Source organism: Homo sapiens, chromosome 15, assembly GCF_000001405.40.
Source record: "Homo sapiens chromosome 15, GRCh38.p14 Primary Assembly".
Taxonomy (NCBI): Eukaryota; Metazoa; Chordata; class Mammalia; order Primates; family Hominidae; genus Homo; species Homo sapiens.
Genome location: NC_000015.10, coordinates 86555058 through 86573910, shown reverse-complemented (window position 1 = coordinate 86573910; position 18853 = coordinate 86555058). Strand labels below are relative to the sequence as shown.

The window sequence follows — 18853 nt, the reverse complement described above, 5'->3', positions numbered from 1 at the left end:
GGAATACTTGGGGGTAGATAGCCAGAATTTCATTTGGAACAAAATAATTAAGATGGGCCCTATTTAAATTTTACTACTCTTTATCAGTCTGAGGAGTTTGAAACATTTTGTATCTTTCCGATTCTGTCTGCCTTCGGGGAGGTGTAGTTAATTATAAGCTTCATAGAAATACCAGCAGTACATTTCAGCATGCTCCTAAAGAGGGCATGTTGGAATAAGGAGGAGGATCATGTTCTTACATACTCCAGTGGACTCAGATCCAGCAGGATGCATACCCTAGCATGCAGTTCTATGGGGAGATTAGAATACGAAAGGAGGAGGAAGTAGGATGAAAGACAACTAGGATAAAAGAAAAATCAAGGACTTCCTGACCCTGCCCTACTTTCAAAGAATTATCTTCTATTTTACCAGATGTTACCTTTTCCAGTTTCATACACACACACATACACAACCAACATTTCCGGAAGCCTAAATCATCATCTCCTTCTTCTGTGTTCTCTTATGGCACCCACTTCTTTCCATACTCTGCTGTTATTGCTTACTTAATTATCTGCCTTTGTGGCTGGACTATAAACTGTAGAAGACATGGAAGTTGTCAGTTCTACTCCCTGTCATATTCTTGGCACTTAACATATTGCAGGATTTAAAAAGAAAAACGTTTCTTGAATGGATAATGCAAGAAAGAATGAATGAAGAATGTAGATGAAATGGCTATTATCTGCCCTTGGTTATGTGCTTTTAGTTGTATATACATAAACCCAGTCACAAACTTCAGCTTAAAACAAAGTAGATAACTAGTAAATATATGTTGACTAATTGATGAAACAAACATTTATATAAAAACCTCTAATTATTGGCTTCCAACAACAGGATTCAAGGTATTCTAAAAAGTTCTCATTTACATTTAGGGAACACAAGCATATAAACAGAATTATTGCTTACTGTTAGAAATAGAGATGATTCTTAAGGCTGCTCTATTAGATTGCAGAAATGGTGAAGAATGTTGAAGACTTGAACCGTCATTGGCCTCTTACAGTGAGACAGAAATAATACAGGGCAGTCACAGGAGAATAGAAAATTCCAGGCAGCAGTGCCACACTGATGGCAGGGGCGGGCCGTCCAGAGCAGCCACTGCCATCATGCTGGCTGAAGCAGCGAAGCGCAGGCGGTGGCAGCTGGAGAAGCTGCGGGAGCAGCTGTGGCGATGGTCGGACTCCTGTGCCCTGTACCCTGAGGCAGCCGACTGCACCGCCCCCAACATTGCGTGACTGGGCAGGACCCACTCCTAGGCCCAGAGCCTCCGCAGCTCTGGCCCCTGTCCCCATGTTGCTGCTCTCACCAACCACCACTGCGGGAACGGTGCAGGCAGGAGGCGGACAGTCTCCAGAGCCTGCCTCTGGGAGCCTCCTGGAGCCTGCCACCCCGGCAACTGCCACGATGGGGCCGGGCTGAGCTGCCAGCCGTCAGGAGAGCAGCACGGTATGGTACAGAGGAACTCTCAGAGGGGGACCCAGCGAGGACCTGGAGCCCCCACCCCAGACTGCAAGGAGGTGTGGTCTGGGCTGCACACTCCATGGAGCCAGCGGGAACCAGGGACAAGTGAGAGCCTCGCCCCTTCTGATTTGGCAGAGCGGGAGCTCCACAGGTGCAGCTGCAGCCTCCCTGCCATGGCTCAGGACCCGGGCATCTCTGTTCTTGGGGGCCCAGGAAGGGAGCCGGCACTTCCCCCTGCGGGCCCGGAAGTGCCTGCTCCCACTGCCTGCCTTCTCCCCGCTGTCAACGCCCACTCCAATCTCAGAGTAAAGTCAGGGCTGAGCCTGGGCAATGTCACAGCCTGGCCAGATATGCACACAGTCGGGGTAGAGCTGACATGCCAGACGCCTGCCGGCTTGGCCCCCTCAGGACTTTGTGCACCAACAAGCATGGGAGGGAGGCTAAGGGGGTGCTGAGGACAGCTGATGCTGGCCTTCAGGCTTCCCTTAGCATGAACAGCCTGGGTGTGGAGAACAGCGGCAGGAGGCAGTTTCCTGGGCGAAGGAGGCAGGTCCCTAGTGAAGCCCCACCTTTAAGCCAGGGAGGGCCTGAAGCCTGGGGGCTGGGCCACGAGACCCCCAGACCAGAGGGGGAGCTTGTGGTGCTTTTGCCTGGGCCCACCCATGGCTGCTCATGGATCAATCAGCACCCGCTTCCTCCCCTCTGAGGCCAATAAACACCCCATCCCTTGACTTGAGCAGAGGACAGAGAGGATAGGAAACAAGGGGGAGATGAAGGGATGACCAGCTGCAGAGAAGAATTACCTTCTCTGCTGAGAGCTGGACACTCATCAGGATGACCTGCCTAGCAGAGAGGAACCACCCTCTTTGCTGTGAGCTGAAGAAACAATGGGACAACCAGCTGCAGAGAGCAAGTACCCTCTCTACTAAGAGCTGCACACTTGTTGGGACACCCTGACTATGGAGAGGAGCTGCCTACTGTGGGCCCTCTGAGCTATTCCATTGCTCAATAACGCTCCTCTTCATCTTGCTCATCCTCCACTTGTCTGTGAACCTCATTCTTCCTGGATGCAAAACAAGAACTCGGGACCTGCTGAATGGTGAGGCTGAAAGATCTGTAACACAAACAGGGTTGAAACATGCCCCTTGCTTGCCATGTTGGGAGTGAAGAGCAGAAGAGAAGAGCTGTGGCCCTTCAGGGATCTCAGACCTGGGAGCTCCCTGGGCCAGGGATGTGACTCCATCTTTGGGGCCCCCAGCAGTTCCTGGCATCTCCAAACTTCAGGGTGCCACCATATTCCCCAGTGCCAGCCAGGGAAGCTGCTTGTGGTGTAGCCGGTCCAGCCACAGCTCGGCCAAGAGCCCGTGTCCATGCCAGCACCTGGAGCTGCCCACCCTATAGCATCAGCCAGCGTGTCTGACTGTGCAACGGCCAGACCACAAACTGCTCACAGGCCAGCCCGCATGCTGCTCACACACCCCTCACTGCTCCATGCTTGACTCTCCCTTGGCAGGCATGGGATCCAGGCCAGTAGCATGAGCCAAGTCCAGCCTGCCAGGTCGAGTGAGCGGAACAAGCCCAGAGGGCCCAAGCAAAACTTGGGCAAAGATGCCTCCAGCCACAGAGGTTTCCAGCCAGAAAAGCGACACCCCAAAGATCCCATAAAAACATGAATAGCAAAAGGAAACCTGAAATAGCTGCACAAGCTGGGGCTGAAAAAGACCCTGAAAAATAGTTTGTGGACCAAGCTCGCTAAGACCGACTAGATCCAACATGGTGCTGGATTTGACCTAGGTTTCTCCTAGAATGTCATTATATGCTCATTAACATATTAACACTCATGGACACCATGACAGTTCGGGGAACACCCATATTTGGTGTAAAAATGGGTGGCATCATAATTCTGAGAAATTCCCACTTTTTCCAGGAATCTTTATGAATATTCTACCCCTTGATTAAAGAAAAACCCATAAAGGTAGCAGCTGTAAATGTCTTTGCACATGACTCTCTCTTGAGTGTGCCTGTCCTCCCCTTTCTTGAGGGTGTACCTTTCACTTTGCAATAAATCTCTGTACTTCCCCTATTTTCTGACTCATCCTTGAATTCCTTCTCACGATGGTGTCAAGAGCCTGGACAATAGCTGGGTTCAAGGTCCTACCAGTGTTTGGGGACCTCCCCCAGCCCACTGGTATCAATAGTCAAAGGGGATATTATGGTTTGGGGTGCACCCCATTTTATGCAGAGAGAATACCCCATGACAACTCTTCATATCCTGGACTCTGCCCTTCTCAGAACATTTGTATGGAAATGCTACTCCAAGCATCCCAGGTTGAGTCAATCCTTTTTCCCTACACGACAAGATAAATAAAACTCTGGATTAAGTCAATGCTTTCTTTGATTTTGTTTGTCTGTTCCTTAAGAGTATCTGGCTTATGCATTTACAACAGTCACATGGGAGAGTAAGATTTACAGAGATAAACCATCTTTTCTTCTTCTTTGTCATTTGAAGTCAAATTATTTTTAAAAGATCATAGGTCTTTTGAGGCTCATAGGATTATCCCAAGTGCCAGATCTCCTCCTTATTTTTCATAGAAGGAACAATTTTCTACGATGGGCGTTTAAATTTCATGGTTCCCAGGGCTTTTCTAATCCCAGGAAAGATCCCTGCTGGCAACCTTATTAGCATCTCTGCCTCTTGATTTTTATTTAATTCCTTTTAATATTCTATCATGATGCTGACAGACATTATAGAACTGAGGGTAACAGAATGAGGACAATATTTTACTACATAATTAAGACTGCAGTGAGTTAATAAACTGCTCATAGTGTGCTTTGAGATCATATCCGAAGAAGTTTTTCTAAAAACAAAACAAAAGAGACAACAGCAAGGCATCACTTGAATTGCAGTTAATAAGGAATGACAGAGTGTCAACATAAATGGCCCAAATAGTATTTCTACTAAAATGATAGATTAGCATCCGGATTTCTCTCTTTTTTTTTTTTTCCTTGTTTTCTTTTTCTTTGAGACAGGTCTTGCTCTGTTGCCTGGGAGTGCAGTGACATGATCTCAGTTCACCGTAACCTCAGCCTACCAAGTAGCTGGAACCACAAGCACGTGCCACCATGGTCGGCTGATTTTAATTTTTTTTGTAGAGATGGGTCTGCCTATATTGCCCAGGCTGGTCTCAAACTTCTGGACTCAGGCTATTCTCCCACCTCAGCCTCCCAAATTGTTGGGATAACAGGCATGAGCCATTGCGCCCAGCAGCATCTGGATTTCATATTTGTATTTTCAAAGAAATAAAATGGCATTCCAATGGCAAAACAGGCATTTGGAAAATTGTCCTCTTTTCCAAGACTTTGAGAAGGGAAAGGTATTAGAGAATATGGGAGTGAAAAAAAAAAACAGTTTATGTAACATTAAAATGTTGGCATAGATCAACAAAGTATCTCATACTAGGAATTATTTATTTTCAACTTTTAAATCATATTTATCATACATACAGCATCTCATTGTCATTAAAAAAATTTCTGGGAACAATGTCCTTGCCTTAACAGAAAAGTTGGAGCTCCCCAACTTCCTATGCTTGACCCTTCACTCTTTCCAATCTACCTCACCTCTTTGACCAAGGGTGTTCAAAATCCATGTTTCTCAAATTTATGGGAAAAATGGATCACCTGGAGATCTGGTTAAAATGCAGATTCAGTAGGTGGGGCCTGGGAGTCTGCATTTCTAACAAATCCCAGATGCTGCTGATGCTCTGCTCCAGGGTCTATACCACCACTTGTGAGACAGAGCATCCTAAGAAGATTAGCATCCCATGCAGTCACAGAAGATTTAGACTGCTTAATCCAATACACATTTAATGAGATGCTTCATTCTTCTTGTGCTAATTGATAAGTAGGCAGAAATAGTCAGGGATTTACAGCCTCCATTTGATTTTCACAAAGTCAAGCCAAGCACTTCTGAGCTGATTTAAGAGCAAAAACTAGGAGACTGTGAAGGGCCCTCTAGAGATCCTGGAATCAATAAGTTAAGGCATGATCTCTTAATCTTCTTGGGGGCATTGCTCATCCTTTTAAGAATACCTTTAGAAATACAGGTATTCTCCCCAGAAAACTTACACAGAGCCAACAAATAATTTTATATATATCTGTTCTTAAACTCTTGAAAGTCCACATACGAAGACTGTTCAAAGATACTGATTTAAAATACCCTGACCTGGGAGTGTCCCAGGAGCTAGAGAAAACAAAGAAACAAAGACATCTTTAAACTCTCAATGGGATATTAGACAGTTTCTTGTAGTAGAATTAAGCTAATTACCTAAAAGCATGGATGAAGAAAAAAAAAGTAAAAGTGGGAGCATAAGGAGAATTTGAGACTTCATGACAAAAGCCATGGGGAATTTTCTATCCCAAAGAAGATCAGAAGCAAGAGAAGAAAAACAAAAACTTGTCTCAAAACCATCTCACCTTTTACATCTGGTCTGACTATCCTGCCTCAGTCTCTCAGTAACTGGTCTCTGGGCAGCTGGGCTCTGAATGTCCGGGGACACTTGAAAAAAAGGTAGATTCCTGGACCATGCCCCAGATCAAGATACCTCTGGACACAGAGTTCAGACTTTCTTGCAATTTAAACATTTGCAATTTCTAAACTCCACAAGTGATTCTCATGCACACTAAGGTTTGAGGTGGTCCTCAATCTCTCCTCAGATTACATTAATGAAAGAAAGACACCTCCTCCCCCATTCAAAGATCAAAAAAAAGATCAAAATTATATTCCTCTAAAGGTTATCTGTAAAAATGATTCTGAGAATAGTGATCTAAAATATTTTTGAGTTGTGCTCATAATTAGAATAGCCTTTTAAATTCAGCAATCTTGGAGAAATTTAAATCTGTTTCCTTCCCTGCCTCAACTCTTCATGCCTTTCTTTCTCTTCTCCTAGAAGAAGGCTCACAAATTGTCTTCTTCCCCTTCCCTTCTCTGGGACTTCACATACAAATTAACTAAAACATAGATTAGGCAGCACAGGAATTTTGACAGATAGAATAAATGAGTGGATAATAAAAGAAATGTCTAAATGATACATATAGACATTACTTTGATGTAGCTAAGCCTATAAATACAGGTATATGGATATTAGTGTCTATGAAAGCCAAAATCTGTGGTTCTCAACCCTGGCTGTATATTACACTTCATAAAAGCTTAGAGTCTTAATCTTAGACCCCAAAGTTTCTAATTAGGAAGGTTGGAATAAAATGATTATGGTTAAGAGTTGGAGCCTAAGTGTCTTTATCTAAAATAGAAAAAGAAAACCACCATTAATGATCCTGTTAATCAATAAAAATACAAACAGTAAACATGTATTGAGTTTTTACTATGAAAATGGTGATAAATGTTTTGTAGGCAGTAGCTCATTCAGTCTTTATAGCATCTCCATGAAGTAGGAACTATGAGGAGCACCATGTCTACCACTAAAGCTCATAAAAGTCAGGAACTGTCTCAAGGTCACAACTGTGAAATGTAGAGCTCTCCCTGGAACTCTACATCTGACACAGGAGCCCATATTAAACAATAAACTCTGCTTTCCTGTATACATCTATTATTAAAAACCATTGATATGGATACATGTTTGTGTATATATGTGTGATATATACATATACTTGTGTGTTGGAGAGAAAGAATCTGTGTGTGTGTGTGTCTGTATCCTGATACAGAGGCAATTCTGCAGCTCAGGACACTTTTAGGGAGGAGAAGTGTCCCATCTGGGCTGCGCAAGTCCAAAGAACTGTGTGAGAGCCATGGTTCTCTGATGAGACAAGGAGAGAAGTCAAGAGGAAGTGAAATGAGAAAAGGAAGCAACCTAGGAGGTTCCCTGCTATAAAAAAAATTGGCTGTTTCACTGAAGATCTACTCTGCTCCTTATTCACCCTGCTGATGGAGAGCTGCCACTTAATGTATTACATTCCTCTCAGCCCTCTTTGTATACTCTAGAAAGGTGAAATAAAGACCAGCAAGAATAAAATGAAAAGGAGAGGGGGAAATAGTGGATAGAACAGCCAAAGTCACTTGAAAACTACCTAATTGGTTCTAAAAGCAGAGCACTTTCTCCCTAGAAAAATGTGCATACTCAAGAAAAATTAGGGTTCCAAGATGGCCAAACAGGAACAGCTCCAGTCTACAGCTCCCAGTGTGACTGATGCAGAAGACGGGTGATGTATGCATTTCCAACTGAGGTACCGGGTTCATCTCACTGGGGCTTGTAGGACAGTGGGTGCAGGACAGTGAGTGCAGCCCAACGAGGTGAGCCAAAGCAGGGCGAGGCATCACCTCACCTGGGAAGTGCAAGGGCTCAGGGAATTTCCTTTCCTAGGCAAGGGAAGCTGTGACAGATGGCACCTGGAAAATTGGGTCACTCCCACACTAATACTGCGCTTTTCCAATGTCTTAGCAAATGGCACGCTAGGAGATTATATCCCGCGCCTGGCTCAGAGGGTCCCACGCCCATGGAGCCTCGCTCATTGCTAGCACAGCAGTCTGAGATCGAACTGCAAGGCAGCAGCGAGGCTGGGGGAGGGGCACCCACCATTGCTGAGGCTTGAGTAGGTAAACAAAGCTGCCAGGAAGCTCAAACTGGGTGGAGCCCAAGGCAGCTCAAGGAGGCCTGCCTGCCTCTGTAGACTCCACCTCTGGAGGCAGGGCATAGCCAAACAAAAGGCAGCAGAAATCTCTGCAGAATTAAATGTCCCTGTCTGACAGCATTGAAGACAGTAGTGGTTCTCCTAGCATGGAGTTTGAGATCAGAGAACGGACAGACTTCCTCCTCAAGTGGGTCCTTGACCCCTGAGTAGCCTAACTGGGAGGCACCCCCCAGTAGGGGCAGACTGACACGTCACATGGCTGGGTACCCCTCTGAGACAAAGCTTCCAGAGGAACGATCAGGCAGCAACATTTGCTGTTCAGCAATATTCGCTGCTCTGCAGCCCCTGCTGCTGATACCCAGGCAAACAGGGTCTGGAGTGGACGTCCAGCAAACCGCAACAGACCTGCAGCTGAGGGTCCTGACTGTTAGAAGGAAAACTAACAAACAGAAAGGATATCCACACCAAAACCCCATCTGTACGTCACCATCATCAAAGACCAAAGGTAGTTAAAACCACAAAGATGGGGAAAAAACAGAGCAGGAAAGCTGAAAATTCTAAAAATCAGAGTGCCTCTCCCCCTCCAAAGGAACGCAGCTCCTCGCCAGCAATGGAACAAAGCTGGACAGAGAATGACTTTGACGATTTGAGAGAAGAAGGCTTCAGACGATCAAACTTCTCCGAGCTAAAGGAGGAAATTCAAACCCATCGCAAAGAAGCTAAAAACCTCGAAAACAGATTAAACAAATGGCTAACTAGAATAACTAGTGTAGAGAAGTCCTTAAAGGACCTGATGGAGCTGAAAACCATGGCACGAGATCTATGTGACAGATGCACAAGCTCCAGTAGGCAATTCGATCAACTGGAAGAAAAGGTATCAGTGACTGAAGATCAAATGAATGAAATGAAGGGAGAAGAGAAGTTTAGAGAAAAAAGAGTGAAAACAAACAAACAAAGCCTCCAAGAAATATGGGACTATGTGAAAAGACCAAATCTACATCTGATTGGTGTACCTGAAAGTGATGGGGTGAATGGAACCAAGTTGGAAAACACTCTGCAAGATATTATCCAGGAGAACTTCCCCAACCTAGCAAGGCAGGCCAACATTCAAATTCATGAAATACAGAGAACGCCACAAAGATATTCCTTGAGAAGAGCAACTCGAAGACACATAATTGTCAGATTCACCAAAGTTGAAATGAAGGAAAAAATGTTAAGGGCAGCCAGAGAGAAAGGTCGGGTTACCCACAAAGGGAAGCCCATCAGACTAACAGCAGATCTCTCGGCAGAAACTCTACAAGCCAGAAGAGAGTGGGGGCCAACATTCAACATTCTTAAAGAAAAGAATTTTCAACCCAGAATTTCATATCCAGCCAAACTAAGCTTCATAAATGAAGGAGAAATAAAATCCTTTACAGACAAGCAAATGCTGAGAGATTGTGTCACCTCCAGGCCTGCCCTACAAGAGCTCCTGAAGGAAGCACTAAACATGGAAAGGAACAACCAGTACCAGCCACTGCAAAAACGTGCCAAATTGTAAAGACCATCGATGCTAGGAAGAAACTGCATCATCTAATGAGCAAAATAACCAGTTAACATTATAATGACAGGATCAAATTCACACCTAACAATATTAACCTTAAATATAAATGGGCTAAATTCTCCAATTAAAAGACACAGACTGGCAAATTGGATAAAGAGTCAAGACCCATCCGTGTGCTGTATTCAGGAGACCCATCTCACGTTCAGAAACACAAATAGGCTCAAAATAAAGGGATGGAGGAAGATCTACCAAGCAAATGGAAAACAAAAAAGGCAGGGGTTGCAACCCTAGTCTCTGATAAAACAGACTTTAAACCAACAAAGATCAAAAGAGACAAAGAAGGCTATTACATAATGGTAAAGGGATCAATTCAACAAGAAGAGCTAACTATCCTAAATATATATGCACCCAATACAGGAGCACCCAGATTCATAAAGCAAGTCCTTAGAGACCTACAAAGAGACTTAGACTCCCACATAATAATTATGGGAGACTTTAACACCCCACTGTCAACATTAGACAGACCAACAAGACAGAAAGTTAAAAAGGATATCCAGGAATTGAACTCAGTTCTGCACCAAATGGACCTAACAGACATCCACATAACCATCCACCCCAAATCAACAGAATATACATTCTTCTCAGCACCACATCGTACTTAGTCCATAGTTGGAAGTAAAGCACTTCTCAGCAAATGTAAAAGAACAGAAATTATAACAAACTGTCTCTCAGACCACAGTGCAATCAAACAAGAACTCAGGATTAAAAACTCACTCAAAACCGCTCAACTACATGGAAACTGAACAAGCTGCTCCTGAATGACTACTGGGTACATAACGAAATGAAGGCAGAAATAAAGATGTTCTTTGAAACCAATGAGAACAAACACACAACATACCAGAATCTCTGGGACACATTTAAAGCAGTGTGTAGAGGGAAATTTATAGCACTCAATGCCCACAAGAGAAAGCAGGAAAGATCTAAAACTGACACCCTAACATCACAATTGAAAGAACTAGAGAAGCAAGAGCAAACACATTCAAAAGCTAGCAGAAGGCAAGAAATAACTAAGATCAGAGTAGAACTGAAGGAGATAGAGACACAAAAAACCCTTCAAAAAATCAGTGAATCCAGGAGCTGGTTTTTGGAAAAGATCAACAAAATTGATAGACTGCTAGCAAGACTAATAAAGAAAAAAAGAGAGAAGAATCAAATAAACGCAATAAAAAATGATAAAGGGGATATCACCACCGATCCCACAGAAATACAAACTACCATCAGAGAATACTACAAACAACTCTACACAAATAAACTAGAAAATCTAGAAGACATGGATAAACTCCTGGACACATGCACCCTCCCAAGACTAAACCAGGAAGAAGTTGATTCCCTGAATAGACCAATAACAGGCTCTGAAATTGAGGCAATAATTAATAGCCTATCCACCAAAAAAAGTCCAGGACCAGACGGATTCACAGCCAAATTCTACCAGAGGTACAAGGAGGAGCTGGTACCATTCCTTCTGAAACTATTCCAATCAATAGAAAAAGAGGGAATCCTCCCTAACTCATTTTATGAGGCCAGCATCATCCTGCTACCAAAGCCTGGCACAGACACAACAAAAAAAGAGAATTTTAGACCAATATCCCTGATGAACATTGATGCAAAAATCCTCAATAAAATACTGGCAAAGCAAATCCAGCAGCACATCAAAAAGCTTATCCACCATGATCAAGTGGGCTTCATCCCTGGGATGCATGGCTGGTCCAACATATGCAAATCAATAAACATAATCCAGCATATAAACAGAAGCAAAGACAAAAACCACAGGATTATCTCAATAGATGCAGAAAAGGCCTTTGGCAAAATTCAACAGCCCTTCATGCTAAAAACTCTCAAGAAATTAGGTATTGATGGGACATATCTCAAAATAATAAGAGCTATTTATGACAAACCCACAGCCAATATCATACTGAATGGGTGAAAACTGGAAGCATTCCCTTTGAAAACTGGCACAAGACAGGGATGCCTCCTATTCAACATAGTGTTGGAAGTTCTGACCAGGGCAATCAGGCAGGAGAAAGAAATAAAGGGTATTCCATTAGGAAAAAAGGAAGTCAAATTGTCCCTGTTTGCAGATGACATAATTGTATATTTAGAAAACCCCATCGTTTCAGCCCAAAATCTCCTTAACCTGATAAGCAACTTCAGCAAAGTCTCAGGATACAAAATCAATGTGCAAAAATCACAAGCATTCTTATACACCAATAACAGACAAACAGAGAGCCAAATCATGAGTGAACTCCCATTCACAATTGCTTCAAAGAGAATAAAATACCTAGGAATCCAATTTACAAGGGATGTGAAGGACCTCTTCAAGGAGAACTACAAACCACTGCTCAATGAAATAAAAGAGGATACAAACAAATGGAAGAACATTCCATGCTCATGGATAGGAAGAATCAATGTCATGAAAATGGCCATATTGCCCAAGGTAACTTATAGATTCAATGTCATCCCCATCAAGCTACCAATGACTTTCTTCACAGAATTGGAAAACACTACTTTAAAGTTCATATAGCACCAAAAAAGAGCCCGCATTGCCAAGACAATCCTAAGCCAAAAGAACGAAGCTGGAGGCATCACACTACCTGACTTCAAACTATACTACAAGGCTACAGTAACAAAAACAGCATGGTACTGGTACCAAAAAAGATATATAGACCAATGGAACAGCACAGAGGCCTCCGAAATAACACCACTCATCTACAACCATCTGATCTTTGACAAACCCAACAAAAGCAATGGGGAAAAGATTCCCTATTTAATAAATGGTGCTGGGAAAACTGGCTAGCCAGACGTAGAAAGCTGAAACTGGATCCCTTCCTTACACCTTATATAAAAATTCATTCAAGATGGATTAAAGACTTAAATGTTAGACCTAAAGCCATAAAAACCCTAGAAGAAAACCTAGGTGATACCATTCAGGACCTAGGCAATACCATTCAGGACATAGGCGTGGGCAAGGACTTCCTGTCTAAAACACCAAAAGCAATGGCAACAAAAGCCAAAATTGACAAATGGGATCTAATTAAACTAAAGAGCTTCTGCACAGCAAAAGAAACTACCATCAGAGTGAACAGGCAACCTACAGAATGGGAAAAAATGTTTGCAATCTACTCATCTGACAAAGGGCTAATATTCAGAATCTACAAAGAACTCAAACAAATTTACAAGAAAAAAACAACCACATCAAAAAGTGGGCAAATGATATGAACAGACACTTCTCAAAAGAAGACATTTATGCCGCCAACAGACACATGAAAAAATGCTCATCATCACTGGCCATCAGAGAAATGCAAATCAAAACCACAATGACATACCATCTCACACCAGTTAGAATGGCGATCATTAAAAAGTCAGGAAACAACAGGTGCTGGAGAGGATGTGGAGAAATAGGAACTGTTTTACACTGTTGGTGGGACTGTAAACTGGTTCAACCATTGTGGAAGACAGTGTGGCGATTCCTCAAGGATCTAGAACTAGAAATGCCATTTGACTCAGCCATCCCATTACTGGGTATATAACCAAAGGATTATAAATCCTGCTGCTATAAAGACAGATGCACATGTGTGTTTATTGTGGCACTATTCACAATAGCAAAGAGTTAGAACCAACCCAAATGTCCATCAATGATAGACTGGATTAAGAAAATGTGGCACATATACACCAAGGAATACTATGCAGCTATAAAAAAGGATGAGTTCATGTCCTTTGTAGGGACATGGATGAAGCTGGAAACCATCATTCTCAGCCAACTGTTGCAGGGACAAAAAACCAAACACCACAAGTTCTCACTCATAGATGGGAATTGAACAATGAGAACACTTGGACACAGGAAGGGGAACATCACACACCGGGGACTGTTGCGGGGGTGGGGAGGGGGGAGGGATAGCATTAGGAGATATCCCTATTGTAAATGACGAGTTAATGGGTGTAGCACACCAACATGGCACATGTATACATATGTAACAAACCTGCCTGTTGTGCACATGTACCCTAGAACTTAAAGTATATAAAAAAAAAAGTACAAGAAAAAAAAGAAAAATTGCATAAAATTTTTAAGGGCTTCACATTACACTGGGTCACCCTGGTCTGGGTGATCCATAAGTCCCTTGGATACCCAGCAAAAAACTTGGTCAACATAATGTAGCAGAAACCACACCTATCTTTTAGTTCCAATTCTGTCTTCCTATTATAAATAAGAAAATTGTGACCCAGAGAGGTTAAGTGGCTCACCTGTTGCTGCAGATCTGCTTAATTACAGCCAAGTGCAGAAGGTGGGTCTCCTGCTTCCAAAGCCCAGGTCCCCTTTTACCAACCACATTCTACTAGACAGAAAGCACGAGGTAAAAGCAAAGATCCCAGCAACATATCTGTCTGGCTTCAAATCCTGGCTCAGAAAACTTCTAGCTGTGGGACCTTGAGCAAGTTACTTAACTTCTCTGTCTCAGTGGTCTCATTTGTAAAATAGGAATAATGAGAATAATAATGAAACTGATTTTGTAGTGCTTTGTTGTACAATAGCAGACATGAAGTAATTTAAGATATGTAAAGGGCTTAGCACACAATAAGTATGATAGATGTGTTTGTTATCATTATTGCTACCTTAACATTGTGTATTATAATACTGGAGCAGCCTTAATCAGCACTCATACATGCCATGAGTCTCAAATTTGTCTTCCAAGATGTTCCAAGAAAATCTGAAACTTTTCATTTTCCTCATCATGAGGTGGAGAGAAAATAAGAACTGTTATAACATATTTAGGGCTTTACCACATGGCAATATGGAGACAGAAATAAAAACCTTCCCTAATTCTTGGAGATAATTTTGTGTTTTCTTGTGTGACCCAGTTTATTAGCTTGAATAGTATCTTGCCCAATGCCCAAATTTATCTCCTTATCAGAATGTCAGAATATGAGCTTATTTGGAAATAGGTTCACTACAGATATAATTAATTAAGTTAAGATGAGGTCATCCTGGAGTAAGGTGGGCTCTTATTCCAGTATGTCTGGTGTCCTTATAAGAAGAAGAGGGGAGACACAGAGATAGAGGTTCACAGGTAGAGAAGGCCATGTGACAAGAAAGGAAGAAATTGTAGTGATGCGTTGACAAACCAAAAAACACCAAGGATTTCTGGCAATACAAGAAGCTCAAAGAAAGGCACGAAACAGTTGCCTTTAGAGAGAACATAACACTGCCAACACCTTGATTTCAGGCTTTTATCTTCCAGATCTGTGAGAGAACAGATTTATGTTGTTTTAAGCCATCCAAGTTGTGGTATTCTGTTACAGCAGCCACAGAAAATAAATACAGTCAGCCTACAGTCTGGGCTACTGCAAGAAACCCTGCTCTGATCTGCGGTCTCTAGTTTTGTAGTAGAGGGCTTTGTTCCCTAAACAGCTAAGGCAAGTGGAGTGAATAAAGGGCCACTGGGAGCCCTGAACACGGAGTTCCGATGATTGAATTTCCTATATGAAACTCATCCCCACTAAACCATCTCCAACAATTTAAGTGCTTAGTTCCAGCATGCATGTTTTATAATCTAAGCCTTTTTGAAATACTGTTATAAGTTGTTTACAGCAGGAAACAGCCTCTGAGATGCTGAGATTTGCATACAGAAGGACTTCTGGGGAGTGCTTGCTGTAACAATACCTGTGAGTTACTAGGGAAACAAAGTTGGGCAGAGGGGGAGGTTGAACCACAAGGGAATTACAACAGAGGTGCCAGCTAATCCTATAGGGATATCTAGAGCTGGAATGGCCCTTTGGAGTCATCCCAACTGAAGCAGAGATAAGGCTTTTGTTTTCCCACAGATCAGCTATTGGATGTAGGCTGCAGGTAGGGAGGAGCCATAGCTTTGGGGCAAGATGGGGTCCTTTAGTTACAAGCAATTCCTGGTTATAGACACAGCTGTGAACAACCAGGGGAAATTGAGTGCCTGGGTCCTAAGGAGGGATCTCGAGGGTGGACCGCAGCATCTACTACGTATATGGATGGAAGTCTTTCTGCCTAATTATCATCTGTTATTAGAATGTGTCCATAAGAGATTCCATACCTGAACTAGAATTGCCTTACTCTGGGAAATAATCCATTGGGTGGATTATTGTCTCTCAAACCATATCTAGTGGCAGGTCTAAGAGATCTCAGCCCTGCATTCTTGTGTCTTTCCTTCTTTCACCCACACATTTTCCAGCTCTACCCATTGCAACGACTCTTAATATCTCCATTTCAGAATGGCATCTGATCACATTTGGACCACAATAATTTCTTCTCTTTTTCTACTTACCCAAGGACAGTGAGGATCATCATTTGAGGGCTTGGAAATTGCCATTTATTTACTTGTTCACTTACTTACTCACTTGTCAGCCATCATACATTTTTAATACCTACTTTATACTATACTAAGCATTGAGTATAAAAAAAAGAAAGAAGAGATTGTAAAAGGCCTTACTCACCACGATGATGAGGTGGATTTTATCGAGACACAATGAAGACACTTATGGGCATTACTGTGACTTGAATAGATTTGTGTTATTAAAGGAGCCCTTGTGGGTGGTAGAAAGGATGCACTGCAGGAAGGTCCCACAATACAAGGATGCAGCTCGCAGGTAGAGAATTTAAACACAAGTTGAGTCACTCTTCAAACCTCAGCTGAGTTACCATCTTCTGTCCTTCTTTAAGATCCACTTTGCTGTCCAAGTTAGCAGTGTTGCAAGGAGCAAGCTGACAGCCTGCTTGGGTAAAGGGACTCACATCCTCCTCCTAAGCTACCAGCAACCCCTGGGGCCCAGCCACATGCCTTTGTGTATGCAAACACACCACGTGTGTGACCTCAGGTCACAAACACTCAGTGTGAAGCCCACAGCTGTCCACATGGACGGGATGCCTCTAAAAAAATGAGCCCCCAAAGGATGCATCATTTCATTTTGGCTTTTTCCTCAACAGCCTCAATAGCTTTGGGCCCATCCCTAATAGGTAAAGTAAATCTCTCAGTGGGTGGGATTTCCACATTAAATACAAGTTATAGATCTAAGTGTATGACCTAGCAACAGAGACTGTATCCCAAAGAAACAAGAGCAGGATAATTCTTTTTCTAATTAGCCAACTATAGACTGGAAAATAGAAGAGGAAATATCGTATTAATAATCATTATTTTAAGGTAATAGCTTATGTTCTTTAATGCAGTTCCAATATAAATGTCACTGTAAAGAATGATATTTCATTTCAATACTTACAAATCAGGTACTTAGTGTGCTGGGGGAGAAATGATTGGAACTACTTTAAAGCTGCATTAACCAGAGAAACTGCAAAAATATTTACATTCTTATGAAGGAAGGAAAGAATGCCTCTCACGGGTGTATTTAAGTATCCTCCATCTTTTGGATAAATGGTAATGCTAAACAAAAAATGGAAAGATGACCTTAGAATAATAATCTCAAGACTCAACTGGGACTCAGCTTCCCAATGTACAAAAAGCATTTGCAATATGTTCAGGATGGAAATTTCTATACTGCTTTGTAGCTCATAGACTGCATTATGTACCTTACGCAAAAATCACCAAAACACCCAACTCCAGGCTGGCTTCCTTCCCATGGGGTGGGCCCCCCCATATGTAAAATTACTCACCATCCTCTGTGAGTATCACTGCCTGTGATTCTGCTCAGTTACTCAACAATGTTTGTAAGGACAGGAAAACAAAGAGAAGGAGGAAACTAATACATTCGGAGAAGTGTTTTTCATATAGAGAATGGGATTCTTAAACCAAAACCAGGTCTGGCACTGTTAGGGCTTTCTCTAGCCAGTTCTCCCTCCATTATTCCTTCTAGTGACCCAATGCAAAAGCCATTTGGAAAATTTCACAAGATAAATGCTGCTCCAATACCTGAAGGCCATCCACTGGGTGAGCCCTTTCATTCTTTGTCCTCTCCAACAGCCTCTGTGTACACTGCACAGTAGAGAGTTGGTGAGGGCCTGAACCTATGAGTCATTTCATTTTCAAACAGCTCCAGAGAACTTTGAGTTTCCAGCTGATTTATTGTGAATGGCACTGATACTTACGTGACTAGAAGCTGTTTGTTTGAATTGGTGCTTGGAGAAACAAACTCAATGACAGTCACAAGCTAATAAATCTTTGAAGAGTTACATGGAGTTGTCTTTTAAACAAATGACAAGCCCCTTCCCATCAAGACACATGTACAGAGAGAGACACAAACCTATGTCCATAAGGCCTTAAAGTCACAATATTTAAAGCTTTTTTTTTCCAATCTTATACGTTTTGAATGACAAGGGAGTGAACAGATTTCTGATTATATAACCTCCAAGTATATTCACATATATGTTTTCTTTTAGTCCCTACAAAACCTTGTACGGTAGGATAAAAGGAGTCCTTATTAAAATCTGCATTTGACATATGAAAAAAAATAGGTTCCTAGAAGTAAGTAGCTTTCAACACTGCTGGTAAGTGAAAGAGTGAGATCTCTTGATGCCCAATCTCAGACTCATCCAATGATTTCAGCTCTTCTTATTCTTCTTTTACATTAATGTGGGTGAATAGGATTAATTCAGTCTAAGAATTTATTAATTCAGTAACAAAACAATTATTTGAAACAAGTCTTTAGACTAAGTGGCTATTTGACAGAATTAATAGTCAAAAGGGTGGTTCGGTAGCTCTGAGTTAAAAAAAATCTTCGACTACATGAGAAGTTAGATAATGTGCATTGCCTGTCACACCCTGTACTCTCTTTGGTAACTAACAGATTTCTACAAGCTCAGGATTGCATAGATGCCAAGTGCTTCCTAGCTGTTCCAGGAGACTATCAAAGCCAACACAATGAGCTTAATGCTGGGGAGGTCCAGGTATTCTTAGGGTTGAATGGAAGTCACCGAGGAGCAGTCTGTCAGCTTGCCTAAGAAATTTACAAGAGTCTATTACCCTGGCACTGTCAAAATGTCCTTTATTTATGCTTCTCTATGGGGGAGTGGGAAAAGCAGCCAGAACAGCCTGCTGTAGCAGCTATCCAGCTGCTCATGCAGTTAATATAGCTGTAGAAAGAATGTGATTTATACAAGAGCACTTTCTCTCAACACTAGCATATGAGTCCAAAACCCAC

At 42.4% G+C, this 18853-nt stretch overlaps 1 protein-coding gene across 5 annotated transcripts in view, besides 2 other annotated features; it reads right to left on the bottom strand.

Annotated features, from left to right (window-relative positions):
- AGBL1 (AGBL carboxypeptidase 1) overlaps nt 1–18853 on the bottom strand; it is a 951857-nt gene that overhangs the window by 457566 nt on the left and 475438 nt on the right. The window contains exon 22 of one of the 5 annotated variants that reach the window (NM_152336.4): nt 17626–17688. The exons of the other annotated variants lie outside the window; for them this stretch is intronic. Within the exon in view, the coding sequence (NP_689549.3) occupies nt 17626–17688 (63 nt within the window). The remainder of the gene's footprint in view (nt 1–17625; nt 17689–18853) is intronic. 5 annotated transcript variants of the gene reach the window in all.
- Nucleotides 757–1385: an enhancer, noted in NCBI's record as "H3K27ac-H3K4me1 hESC enhancer chr15:87115757-87116385 (GRCh37/hg19 assembly coordinates)". NCBI's record gives its function as "activates a minimal SCP1, AML or CMV promoter by ChIP-STARR-seq in naive H9 embryonic stem cells {active_cell/tissue: H9 hESC(naive)}" and the evidence as "EXISTENCE:reporter gene assay evidence [ECO:0000049][PMID:30033119]".
- Nucleotides 1386–2015: an enhancer, noted in NCBI's record as "H3K27ac-H3K4me1 hESC enhancer chr15:87115127-87115756 (GRCh37/hg19 assembly coordinates)". NCBI's record gives its function as "activates a minimal SCP1, AML or CMV promoter by ChIP-STARR-seq in naive H9 embryonic stem cells {active_cell/tissue: H9 hESC(naive)}" and the evidence as "EXISTENCE:reporter gene assay evidence [ECO:0000049][PMID:30033119]".